This window comes from Homo sapiens, chromosome 6 (genome assembly GCF_000001405.40).
Source record: "Homo sapiens chromosome 6, GRCh38.p14 Primary Assembly".
NCBI classification, from domain to species: Eukaryota; Metazoa; Chordata; class Mammalia; order Primates; family Hominidae; genus Homo; species Homo sapiens.
In genome coordinates, this window is record NC_000006.12 from 108730002 (window position 1) to 108751450 (window position 21449).

At 45.6% G+C, this 21449-nt stretch overlaps 1 long non-coding RNA gene across 1 annotated transcript, besides 4 other annotated features; it reads left to right on the forward strand.

Annotated features, from left to right (window-relative positions):
• Positions 523–1450: an enhancer, noted in NCBI's record as "OCT4-NANOG hESC enhancer chr6:109051727-109052654 (GRCh37/hg19 assembly coordinates)". NCBI's record gives its function as "activates a minimal SCP1, AML or CMV promoter by ChIP-STARR-seq in primed H9 embryonic stem cells {active_cell/tissue: H9 hESC(primed)}" and the evidence as "EXISTENCE:reporter gene assay evidence [ECO:0000049][PMID:30033119]".
• Positions 1785–2577: an enhancer, noted in NCBI's record as "H3K4me1 hESC enhancer chr6:109052989-109053781 (GRCh37/hg19 assembly coordinates)". NCBI's record gives its function as "activates a minimal SCP1, AML or CMV promoter by ChIP-STARR-seq in naive H9 embryonic stem cells {active_cell/tissue: H9 hESC(naive)}" and the evidence as "EXISTENCE:reporter gene assay evidence [ECO:0000049][PMID:30033119]".
• Positions 2578–3369: an enhancer, noted in NCBI's record as "H3K4me1 hESC enhancer chr6:109053782-109054573 (GRCh37/hg19 assembly coordinates)". NCBI's record gives its function as "activates a minimal SCP1, AML or CMV promoter by ChIP-STARR-seq in naive H9 embryonic stem cells {active_cell/tissue: H9 hESC(naive)}" and the evidence as "EXISTENCE:reporter gene assay evidence [ECO:0000049][PMID:30033119]".
• Positions 6351–7020: an enhancer, noted in NCBI's record as "H3K27ac hESC enhancer chr6:109057555-109058224 (GRCh37/hg19 assembly coordinates)". NCBI's record gives its function as "activates a minimal SCP1, AML or CMV promoter by ChIP-STARR-seq in primed H9 embryonic stem cells {active_cell/tissue: H9 hESC(primed)}" and the evidence as "EXISTENCE:reporter gene assay evidence [ECO:0000049][PMID:30033119]".
• Positions 8261–18981, forward strand: LOC107986629 (uncharacterized). The gene is made up of 2 exons (XR_001744280.2): positions 8261–9422; positions 18101–18981. It is a non-coding gene; the product is annotated as an uncharacterized LOC107986629 (long non-coding RNA).
• Positions 18982–21449: the final 2468 nt, after the last annotated feature.

Consider the following 21449-nt stretch of genomic DNA (forward strand, 5'->3'; position numbering starts at 1 on the left):
AAGGGTCCTGAGAGGACATCACAGAGTACGTGGCTCTCCAGCAACAAGTGCTGTATCAAAAAGGAATTTTCTACTCAGCCTGAAAATTCAGTGAACTAAAACTCTGCTTTCCTTGGGATTAGGTAGGGTAGCATTGAACTGAAAAGATCCTCCCAGAAAAGCTATGTCACCAAGCAGGAGACCCTGACCCTTGCATGCCTTATTCCTCTTTCGCCTCATCTCCTCAGTGGGGTTATTAGTCTGATTCACTCTATCATTTCCTAAACTCCTCAGAGGATAGCCTCTTCTGGAAACAGGATCATATAAAAGATTCTCCTGGCCGAGCGTGGTGGCTTGAGCCTGTAATCCCAGCATTTTGGGAGACCAAGACGGGTGGATCACCTGAGGTCAGAAGTTCGAGACCAGCCTGGTCAATATGGCAAAACACTGTCTCTACTAATAAACAAATACAAAAATTAGCAAGGTGTGATGGTGCGCACCTGTAATCCCAGGTACTCGGGAGGCTGAGGCAGGAGAATCACTTGAACCCAGGAGACAGAGGGTGCAGTGAGCTGAGATTGTGCCATTGCACTCCAGCCTGAGTGACACTCCGTCTCAAAAAAAAAAAAAAAAGAAAGAAAGAAAGAAAAGATTCTCCTTTGTCTAACAACTTCACCCCACAGCAGTCTGCAGAGTAGCAGTTTGACAAATAAAACGGGAGATGCAGCTACTGCAAATAGCAAAAACCACTTCACTTCCAAATTTCCCAAGTCCCGGGGGAGCCCACTTAAGCATTCCTCCAATAGAGAGCCTGTTAAACCGTAATGGCTTTAATTTGGTCCAATTAACCTCACACTGGGCTAACTTCTGCCCTTAGCTATGGGTTGGCAGCTACTGCTGACTCCAGGTACAGTAGTGGGCAGGTAACACCAGAAACTAACTCGGCGAATGAAAGGAAAATATGTTCGCCACATCCTCCAAGCAGGAGGGGAAAAACGACCTGGCTCAGGCATGCTGCTCCAAAGTGCACATTCAACCCAGAAATCTTCCAAGAAGCCAAATGAGGTGAAAACAGGACATGTCAACTGAGAATGCGAGTGAGTTTTGTTTGTTTGTTTTACATTGTCAGTTGCCTTTCATTTGCAGAACATGCTGAATGGATGTGATTTCCAGCTCTCTGTGATTATAAGTCTGATTCAATTCCTTTCAAGGCATAAAAGCCTTTTCTTGCCGAGTTGTCTTTGGGAATTCTTCACTTGAAGTTTATTCTTTCAGTATAAGGCTGCCCTGCCCAAGTGGGAGACCGAGAGCCTGCTGTCTCTTTTACACACAGCGACCTGTGTGGGGTCCTCCACACCCAGGATTAATGTTCTTCTTTTTGGACATTTGAATGGTGGTTTTCACCGTCAATGGGCTATGGTTTGTAACTGAATAATGGGAAATGACAATAGAACACTTGGGGCGGGGACTGGAGAGCTGAGGTCCTCTGACCCAGCCACCTGTATTATATAAGAGAAATCAGAACCCAGACTCCAGAGCGTGCTCCCAGAACCCTGGGGTCCTGAGAGGGTTAAGTGGAGGGGTGTGGGGGAAGAAGCTGAGCACATCGAACCCCTCTTCCTGTTCAACTAGAGCATCTCCATTTTGATATATTTTCAACTTTTAAAGTTTTACATTTATACAGAAAAGTGCACCAATCACAAATGCACAGCTCGATGAACTTTTACAAACAGAACACATCTGCAGAACCAGCCCAGATCCAGAAACAGGGCCACCCCTCACTGCTGCCTTTCAACACCACCCCAGAAAGAAACCACTGCCCTGGACTCTCACAGCATCTCAGTGATACATTTTATACATTCAGGCTCCACATAGGATTGTTTTAAACTTTTTATTTTGAAATAATTATAGATTCACAGGAAGTTGCTAAGAGAGTACAGAGAAGCACATTGAATTTTATATTCATTTTCAACGTTCAGAAACAAAATTTTTAAGTTAAAAAACCGGTGGTTTAAACTAAATTAGCAAATGGACGGGTTTTGGAGCCAGGCCACGTGAGATTGAGTCCACATTCTTTCCCTTACCAGCACATGACCCCAGACTTGTCCCCTAATCATCCTGAGCTGCAGATGAGGCTCATACCTCCTTCCTGCTATTGGTGGGATTAAAATCAAAGTGAGACCGTGTGCACTGCAGGAGGTGCCCGGAGTGATGGATGCGGCAGGAGTGTTCAAGCAGTGCCTCTCCCATCTGCAGCTTCGTCCGGTTTCCAGTCAAGCACTACTGCACGCCCAGCACCCCAGCTCCTCCACCATTCCTCTGCCTCCCATGCCTGCAGCAGCTTCGCCCTCCAGCTGTTGGGGCAGGTGGGGTCTGGAGGAGTAGCCACCTGGATAGGAGAGCTGGGGAGGACTGACGAAGCAGGCCTGCCCTAGGTGCCTCACCTGTGGGCTGGCCATTGTGAAATCAGCCCTGTTCATGTGCCACCTGAAAAGGCTACCCTACCCTCCCCCCCCACCCCCACCCCCGACGCTGGGAAAGGGTGTGGCTCTCTGCTCATTAAGGAAGCATTCCCACTGTGGATGGGTAACAAAAGGCAACCCTCAAGGAGTGACCTTACTAAATCCAAAGGAATCCGGCCTCCTCTCATTAGTGGGAGGGTAGCTGAGGGTGACTCTTGGCCAGCCGGCCCTGAGTCATTGAGGGAAGAAAGGCCAAGCCTGCATGACCCATCTCAGAGGCCTTGCCCTGGACAGAAAGGGACCTGGAGCCACCCGAGAGATAACATCTGGGCGGGCCTGGGGCTGGATCCACCTGTCCACTCTGCGCACCTAAGGCCGTGCCTGCCACACCTCCAGATCCAGGAAGTTAGCAGGCAGGCAGCAGTACTCAGGGAGGCCTCCAGATCAGCCCCCAAAGGTCTACACTGTGGAACCTGCTTCTCCTCTCAGGAAAGACTTCTGGCCTCACCCCCTCTTCTAGAGCATGCGATTCTAATGAAATGGAGCTTCTCACTGGAGCCCAGGTTTCCATTCTACCCATGTCACCTGTCCCTAGAGGAAAGGCTACCCTCCTTGCCCCTGCAGGGGTTGCCCTGTTGTACCTCTGTGAGGGCTTGGTCCTGGCCCTACGTGCCTCCTCTCTCTGCCTTCCAGAGGCTTCTCTGCTCCAGCACTTCCCTTGGGCCCACCCTCTGGGGGTTTTCAGTCCAAGAATGGATGGAGAGGAAGAACCTGTCCCTCTGGTTGCCTACCATCTCTCAGGTGTCAAAATGTGGCACACTCCAGTGACACCTCTGGGGACCAGAGCATGAGCCAGCCTGTACCTTGAGGCAGCTGTGCCATTCTGGGAATTTTCCCCTTTCCTTCCTCAGTGGTTAATCTTAGGGTGGCAGTTTTAAGCCTAAGGTCAGGAAGCTCTGGCAGAAGAGGCAATGATGTTGATGGTGATAATGATAATAATAATAGATAGGGTGGCTGGAGGGATGGTGAGTGGCGTGGGAGTGAGGATGAGTCCCAGGTGGTAGTCTTAAGCAGTCTGGACACCCTGCTGCTAATGATAGGCATCACTTATTGAATACCTATATGAACCATGGGTTGCACTACGTGCTTTGCACGTGTTGTGCCACTTAATCCTCCCAATAACTCTATGGAGGTCATCATCATAGGGTTACGATGTCCTGTAAGTAACTTGCTTAAGGTCATGTAGCTAGTAAACACAGAACTAGAACATGAATGCAAGTCTGTGTGACTCCATGCTCCTTTCCTTTTTCTCTCTCTGTCCCTTGTTCACCCTACAGAAACTCTTAACCTTCCTAATTTTCTATTCTAGAAAGGGTTTATTTTTAGCTAACCACCTGCTATGCTTGTTGAGAATAACCAACACCTGTTAAAGCTTAAGGTGTCACCCACCCTGGGGGTATTTGCATTTTAATGGAAACCTGGGTGACAAGATAGTAACCAACACTTGCGTAGAGCAGTGGCTCTCAAAGTGATGATGTAGGCATTACAGTTTGTAGACACTGTTTGCATTCATTATCCCATTGTTTTATAGCAGTGCTTCTCAAACTTTAGAGGGCATCGGAATCACCTGGAGACTTGTGCAATCACAGATTACTGGGCCTCACCCAGAGTTTCTGATTCTGCAGGTTTGGAAGGGCCTGAGAATTTGCCTTTTCAACAAGTTCCAGGTGATGCTGGTAATGCTGGCCTGGGAACTACATTTTGGGAACTATTGCATTGTAGCAATCCAATAAAATTAGAATAGCAAGCATTATTGTTTCCATTTTTTAGACAAAGAAATTGAAGTGCAGGGACATTAGATGACTTGTGGTTGAGTGATGGAGTTATCAAAAAGCAGGCGAAGGACTTTGACCCAAGATAGGACTCTTCTATACCATTATTTCTCAACAGGTCTGGGCAGTACTGAGATTACTGCAAAGATGATTCAAAAAAATTATATGAGCCTCTACTAGATCACCCAGGTGGCTATGGAGACCTGAATGCTGCCTGCTCTTCAGGGCACATGGCTGCATTTGTGTATGCAAAGGCATTACCCCAGTGAAGTGAGAGCACGTGGCAGGGAAGCCTGCCAGACTCAAAGGCCTCATTCACGTGTATGCAGACGTGTCGCACACAGACCCGTTTTACTTTACTTTCATCTAACAGTTTGCAGCGAGAATTGGCCAACAGGACCCAAATTCTGTCTTCAAGTGGAAAAGGCAGAGGTCTCCAAAGGCTGGAGCCAGAGCTGGCTCTCAAGGATTGCTCCTAGCAGAGCTTTGGTTAAGTATGAGTACGACATCCCTGAAGGAAAAATAGCCCTGCAGTTACTAACTTCCACAATGTACCTGGGTGCAAAGGCATCCTCTGCTAATGGCATTATTAAAGTCCAGTGCAGAAACAGATGCAGACTCATGCTAACTTGACCACTTAATTCAGTGTTGGCAATTTAGTTTCAGCAAAACCAGACACTTACCTGAGAGCCATAGGATTAAGGAGTTTTTATTAAATGTCATATCTAGCTTATATTTAATTTGGACATATTCAAGAAACAAACATGGCGAAAATAATTTAAATCCATACTAAGAGGTTTGAGGGGTTTTGTTGTTTGTTTTTTTAAACAGACAGCCATACTTCTTAAGTTTCAGAAATGCTGCTGTATCTATGTTGCCCTGGCTTGAGATCCTAATAAATCCCAAGGTATCACCTTGGGATACCCCGGGATGCAGAAGGCAAATCCCACCGTACGTGATGCCTCTCCTTCCCCAACCCCCAAGTGCTGCCGTGACTTCTCTTACAAAAGTGAAATTGAGTTATAAGAATATGATGAAAAGTTTTGATAAATGGAACTAAAGAACATAATAGTAAATTAAAGTAAAACGGTATAAAAAAAAAAAGGAAGAGAGAGAGATGTCCCCACAAAGCATTCTGTGGCCTGAATGGTAGTGTGGCAGGGTAAGGGTCATGGGGACCTGGTCACACCATTGCCCCAGGGCAACCAGTATCAGGAGTTTTACAGCCAGGTAGTCAGGAGGAACTTAGTCATCCTGGTGCAGTGGAAAGGGCATTGGATTTAAAGGCAGTCTGTATGGGTGATGTTGTACAAGCTTGTAGTCCCAGCTACTCTGGAGGCTGAAACAGGAGGATCACTTGAGCCCAGGAGTGGGAGGATGGAGGATGCAGTGAGCTATGATCACTCCACTGCATTCCAGCTTGGGTAACAGAGCAAGACTCTGTCTCTTAAAGAAAAAAAGAAAAAAAATTACAAAATAAAAATAAAGGCAGACTGTAGGCTCTGCTCTAGCATTTCCAAGTCATGTGACTTTAGACAGCTTATTTAGCTTCTGAGCCTCATTTTTACTGTCTGTAAAATGGGAACTGTGCTCAGAGTGCTTCCCGCTTTTAAAGGAGATCAAGCAGGAGCCTGTCTACACTGGGAAGCTCCAGACACATTTGCCCTTATTGTTTCATCTGTCCTTTTTCCAAGTGCTGTCTGTCTCCCCCACCAATTCTGTAACTCTGCTCTTCTATCTCACTGCTCCTCCTACCCCATCCTCAAGGCATTACCAGCCTCTCAGTCCCCATTGGCAGGAGGGTTCGGCTCCACGGAGGCCAATTTCCAGGGCATGCCAAGGGAGGGTCGATTCTAATCTTGCTAAACCTGGGCGGGCCCTGGAAGTCTTCTGGTCCCACCCCTCTTGGAGAGATAAGGAAGTGAAACCAGACACGGTGGATGTGACCTTCTTAATGCATCACCTGGACAAAGATCGAGGAATGTACTCTCGGATTCTTTTTCAATAAGTTCTCTCTTTTCCCCATTCTTCCTCTTATATACAAGGATGGAAAAGGGGCCAGATTTTCTGGAGGCTTGAGGCCCATTTGGCAGAGAGAGTGACACACAGAGAAAAGCCAGAGAACCCCGTCTGGGTGGGAGAAGCAGGTCAGGAGTCAAATGCCTGGGAACAGAGGGCATGGTGGCAGGGGACAAAAAAAGAGAGCTACTGGAGAGTTCCAGTCCCTGGGAGGATTCAGAAGGAAAGCTGAGATATTCCTGTTAGGAATATTCTCGGCCCGGTGCCGTGGCTCACGCCTGTAATCCCAGCACTTTGGGAGGCCGAGGCGGGTGGATCACGAGGTCAGGAGATCGAGACCATCCTGGCTAATATGGTGAAACCCCTTCTTTACTAAAAATACAAAAAAAAAAAAAATTAGTCGGGCGTGGTGGTGGGCGCCTGTAGTCCCAGCTACTCGGGGAGGCTGAGGCAGGAGAATGGCATGAATCCAGGAGGTGGAGCTTGCAGTGAGCCGAGATCGCGCCACTGCACTCCAGCCTGGGTGACAAAGCGAGACTCTGTCTCAAAAAAAAAAAAAAAATTCTCAGAATACTCTCCTTGGGAGTAGAGAAGTTCTATTTTTTTTTCCTTCTCTTTTTACCCATTATGATGGTAATTCCAAAAGATCACTTGCAGGGAGAGGGGTGGGGGCCGGGAGTGCTGAGAGAAGTGGAGTGAGTCATTGCAGAAAACTTGAGCGGGGCAGAGAAGGGGTTCAGGATCTGAAACAGGAAAGGCTGGGCCCTCTGTTACTCATAGGATGTGTCAATCATTCCAGCTTGGCAAATGGCAGGGAACCCAGAGGGACTTTTTCCACTGGAATCAGGACCCTGAGCCTGAGGACGTATTGAATTTAAATAAAAATTATTTGACTGGAAATTAAAAGAAAGGTAAGTTAGAAAGAAATACGTTAACCTCAGGAATATGTAGACTCCAGAGAGGTTAGGGCCAGGCAAGGGTCTAAGAGAGGAGTGTTTCTTTTTCATCTGTGAGCCATTCTATCAGAAATCCTTATCTGTGCATGCTGCTGCATGATATTTTTGTTTTTTATTTATTAATTTTTTTTAAGCTCAGTGGCAAGACATGCATGGCATTTTCTATGGCAAAGGTTTCACTATTCAGGCATGTAGATGTGTATCCGTAACACAAAAGCAGTCCAAATAATTCTTTTCAGATCATAGTATACAGTTTACTGGCCTAGAATTAGTTTATAATCAGTTGTGGTCGGGCCAAGAAAATTATTGATATTGGGCCGGGCGCGGTGGCTCACACCTGTAATCCCAGCACTTTGGGAGGCCGAGGCAGGTGGATCACCTGAGGTCGGGAATTCGAGACCAGCCTGACCAACATGGAGAAACCCCGACTCTACTAAAAATACAAAAATTAGCTGCTGTTGTGGCACTTGCCTGTAATTCCAGCTACTCTGGAGGCTGAGGCAGGAGAATTGCTTGAACCCGGGAGGCAGAGGTTGCGGTGAGCTGAGATCGCGCCATTGCACTCCAGCCTGGGCAACAAGAGCAAAAAACTCTGTCTCAAAAAAAAAAAAAAAAAAGAAGAAGAAAAACAAAAGAAAATTATTGATATTTAGAAGTCGGAACTATCCTCAATTATTGGATTTAAGTAAATCAAAAACATGCCTCGTTTTTGGATGTAGGTTTACTGGAGATGACTTAACTTCATTCCAGCCGATTTGTGATGAGTGAGGCATGGAGTCTGGCTCATAGCAGACAATTCAGTACTGATTCTGAAACGTATCTCCAATTCCGGAAGTACCGTGTCTTCTAGGTGGTCAATCCACTGAAACTGAGTCACCCTCATGGGACAGATGCTTGATAACACAGCCACGCCCCCACACTCAAACTCCAGAGGCAGCTAGAGAAACTTATGCATGATTCATATTGCTTCATCTGTGACTCCTTCTTAAATTGTGACTTCATTTTCTCCAAATGGCTCTGCAGTGTTTCAAATCTGGGACTCTGTGGCACCCAGGGCAGTTCAGGAATGGGACAGAAAGGCTGTCTCAGGTTCATTTTCAAACCTCATGCCCATGTGAATCTGGACACCCACACTTCTGTGTTCACGTTAGAAAGGCTCTCCTCTCCCCAGCAGCCTCAATTCGATACATTCAGACAATTTGTATCACAGCAAGAAGGTACAACTGAAGCCTCTAAGTTGTCTGGGGTAAATACCCGAGGTTCCCAGTCTGGCACCAAGAAAATTTAGGACACAGACACACGGACACACATGAGGAGTTTAGGAAAGGAGGTTTAATAGGCAAAAGAAAGAGAAAGAGAAAGGAAAACAGCTCTCTCTAGTTAGAAAGAGAGGGCTTCCGAGAGGAAAAAGAACCAGAGAAGAGCCAGTTGGCCATGGATGTGCCGGATTTCATAGTCAGGCTTGAGGAGGTGGTATCTAATTTATATAGGGCTCACAGATTGGTTCGATCAGGTACGATGTTTACATAGCGCGCAGGGAAGGATGGCCGCCCCACCCTAATCTTATAAGGCAAATCAACTTTCCCCTTAGCTGGTGCCATCTTCTCTGCTCCTTACTGTACAGGTGGCTGGCAAAGAAGGGACGATGGAGCCGCCATTTTGAACATGGCTGGCACAACTGCCTGCATGTATGTCTGCAGCTCGATTTTATAGGCTGCTCTTTGCTGGAAAGGAAAATGATTTGGGGCTGCTTTTCATTAAAAGGAAAACCTTACCAAGGACTTCCATACCCTCACTATCTGCCTAAGTAATTGCATCTTCACTCCTGTATCACAGCTTTGTGAGCCACGTCAGAATAAATTCTGACAAGACCTGGGTCTGAGGACGCTGCTTAGTGTATCTCTCCAGGTTTTGACAGCCCAGCCCTTTGCCTGCATGAAAATAAACGGGATGTGCGCACTCTGCTTTAACTTCTTCCAAGTGCCCCATAAACTGGCCACAGCACAGGGCGTGAGCGTGAAGGAAACTCACCACCTCAGTCACTTCCTCCACCACTTCATATCTGCTAGGAGCCTGACTCGCCAAGTCCACCAAGTCTTCTGAAGAGGATTCCATAGAAAGTGGGCACATCTACCTTCCCTGTTAACTTGAATAAACTGTTCCATCTGCATCAGGTAAACTCACTTTTCCATGCTGAGACCAAATGTCTCAAATTCCTCATAGGGAAGTAGTTAGCCCCTGCCTAATTTGTATGCACTAATTGGGTAGAGGTTAAATTTTGCTAAAAACAAACAAAAAGCCTCAGTCCTGACGCACCTGGTAGGGAGTTGGGGCAAGTTGGCCAAATGCCTATCTGTTGGCTGATCCTTCCTGAAGCCAGAGGCAAAGCAGCCAGTGTTTGCTGGAAGCTGGATACAGCCTTTGCCACTGGCTGATGCATGTATCTCACTCAGACCGTAGGATACGGGACAGGGAGAACAGGAATGACAAGTCCGTCTCACCTGCCGAATCCAAAGAGCTGTTCATGGCTACTGACAGCACCTTGCTGAGAAGGATGCTGGGGCAGCATCCAGGCTCCAGGAGACAGATCTGTGATTGTTCAGCCACGTCTGCAGCAGGCACAGGCTGGAGGAGCAGCAGTGCCTGGCATCATAGGTCTGTGTACCTTAGACAATAGCCAAGAATTCAGAGATCAATTTTTCCAGCACAGAACCCACATCAGATGTAATATGGCCTCCAGTCTCTACACGTTGGCCCAAAATCCAACACCAACTGGGAGAAGCTACTTGAGGTCACATAAGAAAGAAAACATCAGGGTCCAATCTAGGGTATACCTTGGAGACCTTGGGGAGATTCCTCGAACTTTCCTAGCTTCCTCGTACTTGTTATTTTTGGCACCCGCCATTGATTTTCACAAAGGAATTGGCAGTAAGTCTTTTGAATTCCAGGGAAACCAATTGCTCATTTGCTTGTTTTGAGGAATGTGGAGTTGGGGAGATTGTGCCTAGCCCAAGAACAGGTCATGAGGGGAAAAAAAATGCTCTTTGTTGGGGGTAGCAGCATTAGAATGGAAAGAAAAGCAGGTCAAGTGCCTGGTGTCTGGGTACCAGGAGACATGAGGTGCACCTAGAGGACAGGTGAGAGAGGGGTGGGCAGGTGAGAGGGAGGCCATGGGGAGAATGAACAGGTGGGAGTCCTGTGTGATTTTTTTAAAACATCGAGAATGCTTTCTGGCTTTTCCTGTTATAAGATGATGATTCAAGGGAAATATTGATAACTTGGTTGTATATGTGGCAATAAAAGGACCTGACCTATAGTTTGGGCAAAGAGGACCTACATGTAGGTTTGAAAATGTCAGCTTTAGGCCAGGCGCAGTGGTGCACGCCTGTAATTCCAGCACTTTGGGAGGCCGAGGCAGGCGGATCATGAGGTCAGGAGTTCAGGACCAGCCTGGCCAACATAGTGAAACCCCATCTCTACTAAAAATACAAAAAATTAGCTGAGCATGGTGGTGGACGCCTGTAATCCCAGCTACTTGGGAGGCTGAGGCCGGAGAATCGCTTGAACCCAGGAGGCGGAAGTTGCAGTGAGTGGAGATCACACCACTGCACTCCAGCCTGTGTGACAGTGCGAGACTCCATCTCAAAAACAAAACAAAAACAAACCAACCAAACAAACAACCCCCAAAAATGTCAGCTTCACAAATGAAGACTTTGCTTTTCCTTCTGCAGAAGTAGCTCCTAAATCTATAAATCTACACGCTTATAGAAATGGACTATAGCTTGCTGAAGGAACTGGAAGAAACTGGTGTGTGTGTGTGTGTGTGTGTGTGTGTGTGTTTTATTTGTGGCTATCATAGAAGTTAAACTGGTTCTAATTTCTAAACCATAAAACATTTATATTCCCATTAAACTTTTTCTTTTTGTAACCATTCTATATTCCCTCATAAGGCACATTGCCAAATTAAGTCTTCTAAGGAAATTCAGTACAAATTCTTTTCACGGCCCAAATACTCTTTGAAGAATGAAGAAAAACAAAATATGCCCATTTTCCTTGGAAGATTAGCTGGGCTATTTTATGAATTGAGACTCTTAAAATTAAATCATTTTGTTTGAAAGAAGCCAGAACGCACATTCATTCTCAATACTTCCTGCCTCTCGATGGGATAGTAGACATTTCCAGAGAATTGCCGTGCCAAAGTTCTACAAGTCTGGTCTTTAAACCTGTTTTCCAAGCCTGCCCTCCAGTTGTTTGTGGAGAAACATGCCTTTCATGGTAAATGGAAACATACCCAGTGTCAAGTTCTCTGCTCTTAGCTCTAAAATTAGAAAGTCTTGGGTGGGGGAGTCGAGTAGGGGCGAGGAGTGTTGGACTGACTGTACTTACTCAAAAACTCAAATTAGATGGCATTATCGTATGTAATGTGTACTTTATTTTCCATGAAACCAGGGTCTTTTGAACATTGAGGAGGGGAGGGGGGATATGTTCCAGGGAGTGTGAGGAGAGAACGGTGATCCTGGGTTGACGGTTTGTATTCAAACAGGAAGCCCTCTTCCAGTCCACAATACTCTGGCCTCTGTTTGTTTGTTTTTTAAATTTTTACTTCTAAAATCAAAGTGGAAAGGGCAATAGATGGATGGATAGATTGTATGTGTGCGTATGTGTGTGTAATGTTGGGCAAGTTCTGAAAACTTGCAGTTTTACCTCTGAACTGTCCCTGAAAGTCAATCTCCTCCTGTCATATTCTTCCCAGTGTACCTGTCCCCAGGACACTCCAGTGTCCTGACTTTTCCATGTTTCTAAGCAGAACTATGAGGGTGGATGTCCCTGTTGCCAGAGCCACAGAGATGGGGCAGGAGAGAGGAAAGAGCTAGTGTCCAAGTGCATCTACTTCTGCTGCAGGCTAAGAGGCGGATTCTCCTTTCTCTTCCACTTTGCCAGAAGGGGAGGAAGTATGTAAAAGAAGTCCTTGCCCTCAGTCTAGGGTCCTGTGAGCAGTTTTGCCCTGCCCATCGAAGCAAAGTTTTGCCAAACCCATTGCATGACTGTGCATTTGTTTACTTCCTCCTTTGCTTAGGTTGTAGGTCCTATTACCTAAATGTTAGCTCTTCTCTTCATGTCCACCATTATTATACAGCCTTCTGGAGTGTAGGGGCTAGAATTCATTTATCTAAGTCTCTCTTTGGGGCTGGCATATAATTAAGAGTTCTACAAACATCTGAATGACATCTATGTGTGAGACCCATATTCCAGCACTTGAGTATGTGTCTGTGTGTATTGGGGTTGTGGGATTCCAAAGGTGACTCAGGCACCTGCAGTTTGCAAGATCCTAACTTCAGGGAAGGGAGAGGACATAATCTACTGTGGTGCCAGGCAGAAACAACACTCAGTGCCCGCTAGGAGATGCACACATACACACATTATCGAGTCTCTAAATTGAACCCGGTGCTTAGCACATAGTAATACATGCTTGTTGGTTATGTTTAAATGTTCTAAATCCAAGAAATACTAAGTTTAAATATTTTAAATCCAAGACATACTATTTCTTTCTTTCTTTTTTTTTTTTTTTGAGACAGAGTCTCGCTCTTTCGCTCTGTCGCCCAGGCTGGAGTACAGTGGCGCGATCTTTTTTTTTTTTTTTTTTTTTTTTTTTTTTTTTTTGAGACGGAGTCTCCCTCTGTCACCCAGGCTGGAGTGCAGTGGCGCGATCTCGGCTCACTGCAAGCTCCGCCTCCCGGGTTCACGCCATTCTCCTGCCTCAGCCTCCCGAGTAGCTGGGACTACAGGCACCTGCCACCATGCCCAGCTAATTTTTTTGTATTTTTAGTAGACACAGGGTTTCACCGTGTTAGCCAGGATGGTCTCGATCTCCTGACTTCGTGATCCGCCCGCCGTGGCCTCCCAAAGTGCTGGGATTACGGGCGTGAGCCACCGCGCCCGGCCCCAAGACATACTATATGAGTGGTGTTTCAGGTTTCCAGCCTCCAGCCCGCTCTTGAAGCTGCACTTTGGTGCAGCCTTTCTCTTTCCAGTCTTTGAAGGAGCCTTGAATGGGGTCCAACAAATGGTCCCCTCGCCCTCATCCAGGGTCTGTGGCACCTCTTTCCCATTTCCTGAGGCCATGGGGGGATGATTGCAGCCTAGGGCTCTAGAAGCCAAGGGCTTCTAATTAGCAAACTGATCCCATTTGTGATGCTGGTTAGTTGGTTAGTGGTCGTAGTAAAACACCTAAAATTAGTCTCTGGTGAAGTATCGGCTTTGCTCAGGCAACCTCAGGTCGGTGGAACAAAGGGACTGGGGGCAAGATTTGCAGCCTGGCCACTGAGGAAAAACTCCAGTGGGGTAGGGTGAAGGGGAGGAGGCCACATTTACTCTCACTAAGTAAAATCTGAAAAGGCCCAACCAAGTTCTGTTGATTGCTGCTTGCTGGCAGTGGTGGCAAGGGAGAGAACAGACGGATACAAGGCTAGGGTCTGTTTTGAAGTCACAAGAGGAGCCAGAAATCGCTGGTAGAGGTCACTGCTTTGTTTCAAACAACTGAGATGACGTTGCCAAAAGGGAAAAGTTCAAAATCTGAACCTATTGTAGAAGTTATTTGGCACTTCTCCCTTCATTTATTTGACATTAAAGTGTGGTGTAGGCTGGGCGCCGTGGCTCACGCCTGTAATCCCAGCAGTTTGGGAGACCGAGATGGGCGGATCACCTGAGGTCAGGCGGTCAAGACCAGCCTGGCCAACGTAGCAAAACCCAATCTCTACTAAAAATACAAAAATTAGCTGGGCATGGTGGCGCATGCTTGTAATTCCAGCTACTCAGAAGGCTGAGGCGGGAGAATTGCTTGAACCCAGGAGATGGAGGTTGCAGTGAGCTGAGACTGGGGCACAAAAACTCCAGCCTGAGCCAAAGCAAGACTGTCAAAAAAAGAAAGAGAGAGAGAGGGAGAGAGGGAGGGCGGCAGGGAGGGCAGAAAGCAAGGGAAGCAAGGGAAGGAAGGAAGAAAGAAAGGAAGAAAGGAAAGATAATTGTAATGTACACTCTTTGCATGTGGCAAAGTATACTCTTTGCATGAGAAAGTTTTCTGGCAATAGCTACCAGTGTTCCTGTTTCATAGAGGACTCCAGCCCCTCACAGCATTGTGACTCTTGCCGTCTCCCTCTCTTTTTTCTGAAACCAAAGGGTTCTTTGCTCTTTACCAAACAATTTAAGCCTTGTTCTCATTTTTCACTTGGGATGTTAAAAATGCTCTCGGGAAACAGTTCTCCCATTCAGAAATTCCAAATATATCCGTGAGCCTTTATTATTCTTCAAGGTTACAGGAATTTTCCTTGGAAGCTGTTTGGATTTGAGTAGAATTTTTGCCTTTCATGTCTCCTCTTGCTTTTAAAATAAGTTTTGGTAAATTGAAGTCGCTGAGCTTATATTTGCTTATTTATTTTGCCAAATTTAGTCTGTCTAAATATGCTTTGTCATTACAAAACAAAAAAAGTAGTTTTAGGCTCTCCTCCTGAATTTCCTTTTAAAAATTAACTGGGCAAGATATTACAATGTGTCATTTGTTACCTTCAACAGTAAGCTGGTATTGACATTAAAAAATGAAGCCAGCTGTACATAAAAAGACATCTTTTGGCGTCTGTTTTAACAATTTGAACAAAACCTCGAAAGCCATTTCGTCTTCTGGTCTCAACTTCGTAAATTAGACCCTTGAATCTGCCAAATTTCAGGAGCTCCTTTATCTTAATGCGGAGATACTCCTCCAAAGAGAACTAACTATATAGAATGTTGCCAGTAGAAACAAAAGCATGTGTATTTGAGACACAAAGGGAAGAATGCTGTCGGTCTCACTTCTTGCCTGACATATTGAGTGGTAAATGACAGCTGGCACAGTAGCCTCTCCCAGAGGCAAGTGTGTTCACTCCAGAGCCACTTCTACATCCCAGCAATCTGCCCTGCCCAGGCGCAGCACTGCTGTGGTGGCCCAAGTCAGAACTGGATTCTGCAGACAGGCTCCCAGGATACAACCAGGGAACCAGGAGGAGGGACTGTGTCATCACTCTTCCTGGGAACGAAAGTGCTGCCTAGCCAAGGTGAACTCATATGGGGCGAAGTGGAAGGACCTCAAAAAGATACATGAAAATCAAAAGACGTTGCTCCTGACATTGATCCGTAACTAACAGGGGGCATCTGGGTGGATCCTGAAGATGCTCCGTGTGCTCTTGTTTGGTTGGGTTTGACTAGGTTCGGTGGGAAGCTCACAGATTTGAGATCACATGATTGGAGTTCATGATGCCTTCCTCCTTTAATAGCTGTGCATCCTCAGGCACATCCTCTACCGTAACCTCTCTGGACCTGTACAATGTGGACAGTAATGTCTGTTATGGTTCTGTCTATGTCCCTGTGAAGAGTAAGCAAGTTAATGGCTATGAAACCATTCAGTAACCTGCAAAATGCCAGCAATGGTGGCATTATGACTGTCTGGGCTCTGTGCTAAGAGTCTATGCTTGGAGAATGTATTCTGGCCTCTAGGCAACTAGCTTTGGCTTGAGTTGACTGAGACATTTGGCTTCATAGTTATTTTTTGCAGTCCGTCAGCCTACTCTAGTCTCATCTGTCCAACTACTTCACCATGGGATGTTGGCCAAACCACCCCACCTGTCTGTGCCTCAGTGACTCCTTCTGGAAAATGGGTCTGGTATATAGCTCCATTTGTCTCAGGGAGACCCATCAAAGCAAATCAAGTTCATTCACTTAACCAGCATTTATCAAGGGTCTACTCTGTGCCTGGCACCTTTAGGGTAGAATCATGAATAAAATAAAGCTCCTGCCCTAGAAGAAGAGACAGACAAGTGATCAGTCAGTTCCAAGGCAATAAAATCAGGTTACAAAAGAAAAACAAGGATGATGACATGGGGCCCACCAGAAGCCTTGTGCTAAAACAGCAGGATTAGAAGAGACCTTCTTGCCAACTTAATTTCACTAATGTCTCCAGGAAAGAACCTGTGCTGTGCTCATCTAGGGAGAAATGGTTAAATTGGGAACATTCACCCATCTTGCACAGTGTTGGTCCCCCGTAACACAGAGAGCCACAGGGGGAGAAGTGTCTATACTTCTTACAGTAATCTCAGGCTTATTGTCCAGAGAGTGTCCAAAGTGGAGATGTCCTTACCTCAGTACCAAACAGAGGGTGATCTCACACCTGGATACTTTGCTAATTTGCCCCCGAAAGTCATTTCTTATTGGGGCCGAAGTAACACTCAGCAGTTGCGAGATTTGATAAGGTGAGAGTGAATCCACAGCACACCTGGGAGAAGTCTGGATTGCCCTGAGGTCAGCCTTCCCTGACTCACTGACTTGGTGGCTTCACAGCTTCACCTCCAAAGCTGGTGGACAGGCCTTATCCTGCCCTCTGCCTGTGCTGATGTGAAGACATCATCTGGACTCTTGTCGTATGTAGGGTGGGCGGGGGCCACTGGACAGGTGGCCATAGCACCAAATTATACAGAAATTCATTCTTTTATTCATTCTTTCATTCACTTATTGAATGGAATCGAATATATCACATGGGCTGAACTCGATATGGCATAACCAGGAAATAGCAGCTTCTACTCCTCCCTCAACTCCCATCACTGCCCTTCCAACCTTCTCTGTCAGATCTTCTTCCACTAGTAAACATCTCAGGCAGATCCCACACAATTCAGTCCCTTTTATGTTGAGCTGTTTTCATGTTAGAGTGTTTTAAAAAGCCTAGTGTTAAAACAGTTTAAAACTGTTTCCCATCAAGTTCCATGCTCTTTCCCTTCCCCCGAGCTCAGGCCTGACCCAAGCTCGTAAAGATTGCATAGTCTGTCTTTTATTATTGCTCTGTCTCTTGTCACTCGCTAGCTGATTTTTGCTCCCAGGGTAGGGCAGAGAGTCGGGGGAGAGGGAAAGAAGCAAAAATGTCTTTTTCCTTTGCTCCTAGGTGCTGTTGTCTAGCCATTGGCATTCTTTGAATACAGATGCTGAAATACTGGTTCTTATAAGGTACTTTAGTTAGGTACTTTGGAGCGACCCCATCCCCCTGCCCCAGGTCCTGTGCCTTGCAGTGCCTGGACTTGGAAGAGTACCCTCCCTGGCAGATTCTTAGGATTCCCCTTCAACCCAAGGGTCATTGGGACACCCCACATGGCCGTCTCATGTCGGGTTCACCTGGCCCTGGCAGTCAGGGCCCATGGCTGGGGACCTATTAAGAGGACTCAAGCTCAACTCCCATCTTCAGAGTTCACGTGGCCCATGAAAATATGTTCCCCCTATTAAACTCTGAAAAGCAAGGCTTGCCGAGAGCTTTTTGCTCCCCAAGATGGTGGCAACCAGGGCAGGCCAAAACCCTGCAACTCAGAAAACATCTACCAGAAAGGGAGATTTTAAACTCTGCTCCGACTCCCATACTCTCCTGAAGCTATCTTTACTTGGCTCAAGGGGCGGAGAAGCAGCCCACCTCTACCACCTCACTCAATGAGAGGAAAAGGAAAATAAATGCACAGTGCTTTTGACTATAAATCCCTTACAATCAATCCAAAACCACATCTCTATACTTCTATCTGTATCTATCTATTGTTTTGGCCAACTCTTAACCAGTCCTGCATGGTTGGTAAGCTGCATCTCTCTTTAGAATATGGGGCCACTTGTTTCACATCTCAGCTTTGGTCATGAGGAGAAATTCTCAAACAGAAAAATTTCAGCTTAACTTTCTGCTATTCACTCATTCATTCATATTATTCAGCAAACATTTATCCAATGTGTACTATATGCCCAGGACTATGCCAAGGTGCACCCAGTAAGAAGCAAAACTGACACAGACTCTGCCCTTTCCTAGATATGCTGGGTGAATCTACCAACTGCTGGCTGCTTGAAACCTTTCAAGAACATCTAAATTTGATGAACTCAACCTCCTATCAACTGGAACTGTTACTCTGTCACTTGGTGCATGACTACAAAGATAGTTCTGACTTCATGTTTATAATAATGATCCCCAATGCTGCAAGATCCTGAAGTGCCTTTGAGTCATCACCAATAACTTACTCATCAGAATTGCTTTCGTGTTGAGTAGATTTTGCTGATATCTGATTGTTCAGCAAGTACAAACTTAATTAAGCTTCTATTTTAGTACTAGATACATGCTCTAAGATCAAGACAGAATTCCCTATAAACAGAATATTTGCTAGATCATATCCCATTATTTGAGCAAACTGGATCCAGAATATTTTCTTGTTTGTTTGTAAAGTAGTTCATGTGTACATTTGTGTGTGTGTTTGTAAATCCTTCCTTTCTTGGTGAATTTTCTTTTATTAGATTGAATTCTCCTGGTATTTTCCTTTTTATCCAGAAAATAGGAGTACCCGCCTTCCTGGCTTAAATGGATAATTCATTGAAAGGTTTAACTTGATTTTTTAAATGCAAAGAGATATGTTTTTAAAACACTATTCCTGTTCTTGGCACTGCCAATCAAAAACATTCAACTTAGAATATCTGATTTGTTCCTGAAGTTGGATCCTATGTATTTTGATTTTGTGAGAATTTAAAAAATCTAATTAAACCTCAGTGTAGATAAAAAGTTTTGATCTCATACAGGGGAAAACACCAGAGGATCTTTATTGTTGCCAAGTTACATTGATAAAGTTTTGCATTCTAACCCCAGTTCCCTGATGTAATATATAAATCTCGTTAACCTTATAAATATGATTTTTCAAGAGCAAAGAACTTCTCCCTTCTTCCTTTATTATGTCTAATTTGCATATAAGCACATAGTCCAAATGTTGGCAGATAATAATATTTTAAAGGGCATCGAAGTATAAGAAGAACTACATACTTGCAGATGTGTTATGAAATATACCCCATTAGTCACTTTGTATTTGAAAGGCAGAAAAACAGGCACCTAGCAACAGCATGCCGTCACTCAGGATTAGAGAAAAGCCACTTTACATCCAGTAACTATTACCCCCTCATTTGGGAGCTGTCAAGCTAGTACATTTAATTACACAAAAGATCCTTGGCTGTTGATTGTCCATATTCACGGTGAATGACAGTAATGACATCACCAAAGGATGCCTTTTGGTGGTGGAGGAGACAGGAGACTGGGCTTAGTAGGAGCTCTCCAGATAGGCTCGTCAGTCAGTCCTATGCAGAGAGACCCAAGGCTCCACTTGAGAACTGTGCTTTCTCTTCTGAAAAGCCATTCATCCTTCCTTCTCTTCCCTCTGAGTGGATTACTGGGTGGGTGGGGAAGGGGGTTGCCCTCCTAGAACACAGAAGTAAGGGTCCAGAACTTAACACTGTTCAGGAGCAAACTTTCCCCCACCAGCCATGGGGGAAAGCATCAAATGCTGAGCTCTTATTAGACCCAATCAGATGGAATTTTCAGCAGGTTCTTTCTTCACACTTTTTAGGAGGGTAAAAAGTAACAGGAAGCAAAGGAGATGACGAGAAAGAAGAAAACATCCAAACCTAACATTGGTCTGGGGAGAGATTCCTTGTGGAACATCAGCAGGCGCTTGCATCTGGGCCAGACAATGTAGGGGCCCCCAAGGCCACTCTGCAGACATCACTGAGCCCCTGTAGCAAAGACCAGGGTCCAGAATGAAGATGCACAGCTCAGTCCTCAAGCAGCTCCCTTCAGGCAGGGGAGCTCAGCACCTGAGGAATGTCCCAGAAGCAAGATGTTCCCTCTGTGTCCTAGAGACTTGGGTGCAGACAGAAACTCACATATGATCAGGTCATATGATCAGGTCTTGCCTTCCAGTTTGAGCCTAGGTTGGATAAGTAGAGGAGTGTCAAGAAGAGCAGTGGGGATTTGCATGCATGGGGAAGGCCAGGGCTGGAGGCGAGATGGACTTTCCCTGTCTCCTAAAAAACTGAAAAATAAACATAAGAGAAAGGAAGGAGGAAGAGAGAAAGGGAAAAAGAGAGGGACCAAAAAAAATAGCATCCATTTGAAATAGATGGTTTTAATGATTGTATTGCAATGTCATGCACGACATTGTGAATGTAATTAATACCACTAAAAATAGTTAAAATGGCAAGTTGTATGTTATGTAACCATTTTAAATGATGTAATATGCCAAAAATCACAGTGTGCATTTTAAATGAAGGAATTATATGGTATCTGAATTTATATCTCAATAGAGCTGTTTTTAGAAGGTGGTATCCACAAGCAAGCATGTGTGTGTGCACGTGTGTTGGAGTACATTCACATGCACATGTGTGTGTGGCAAGAGTGTCAGTTTCCTAGCTAATCTACTTTGGGTGGAAACTGTCAGTGATGACTAGGCAAAGGTGGAGAAGAGAAATGTAACCTACCTGTCCATTGTTCACTGGTGCCCTCGAGAAAGAGAGAAAGAAGTATGACAAATGCTAAAATAATATGATATTATAAGCTTCACATATTTTTATAAGGGGGAGTATTCTCCACCACAAATTCCACGCCTGGTTTCCCGTTCTCAATACACTTTGTTTACAGAGTCAGTCTCATGAAAGCTGTGGCATGAATTATCAAGCTGAAGCTCCTATTTTCCCCTTGAAATATGCGCTTGTGCTTAGGAATGCAGCATCTCTCTTCCAATTATACCTTGGCGCCAGAGTCCCTTTTCCTGGAAGTACACCTCCAATGTCAAGAGGGTGTGGTGCAGTGGAGATGATGCTGTGTCTGGGTCAAAGACCTGCCTCCCTGCCTAGGAGACCTTGAGCAGTCATTGCCTGGACGTCTTTGACCATAAAATGCAGATGATGATGATGCCTCCCTTGCCTTCTCCCTGGAGTAGCGTGCGAAGCAAAATCCAAACAGGATAACATGTGAAAGCGTTCAGTAAACTGTGAATCACTGCCTTAGTGGAAACTATTCTGGATGCACGTAATAGAAACCCAATCAAGTAAGCAAAAAGGAAGACACTGAGTTGAAAGGAGACTGGGATACCTCTCGGAAACTATGGCAGGAGGTGAGGCTGGATCCAGAACCCGGGTCTGGAGAGCGGGGAATGCAGGCAGCTCACTCCCGTGGCTTCTCGCTGCTTTTCCATCTGTTTTCATCTCTGTCTCTCTCTCTCCAGAGTGGCTTCCATTGTTCTGGCTTGCAGGGCCAAGCAGGGATACCCCATGGCTCCTGTGACTACATAGCCTTCATTCAAGCCATGAGCCCAGACGTCTACGCCAGGTCCTAATTCAGTTGGTTC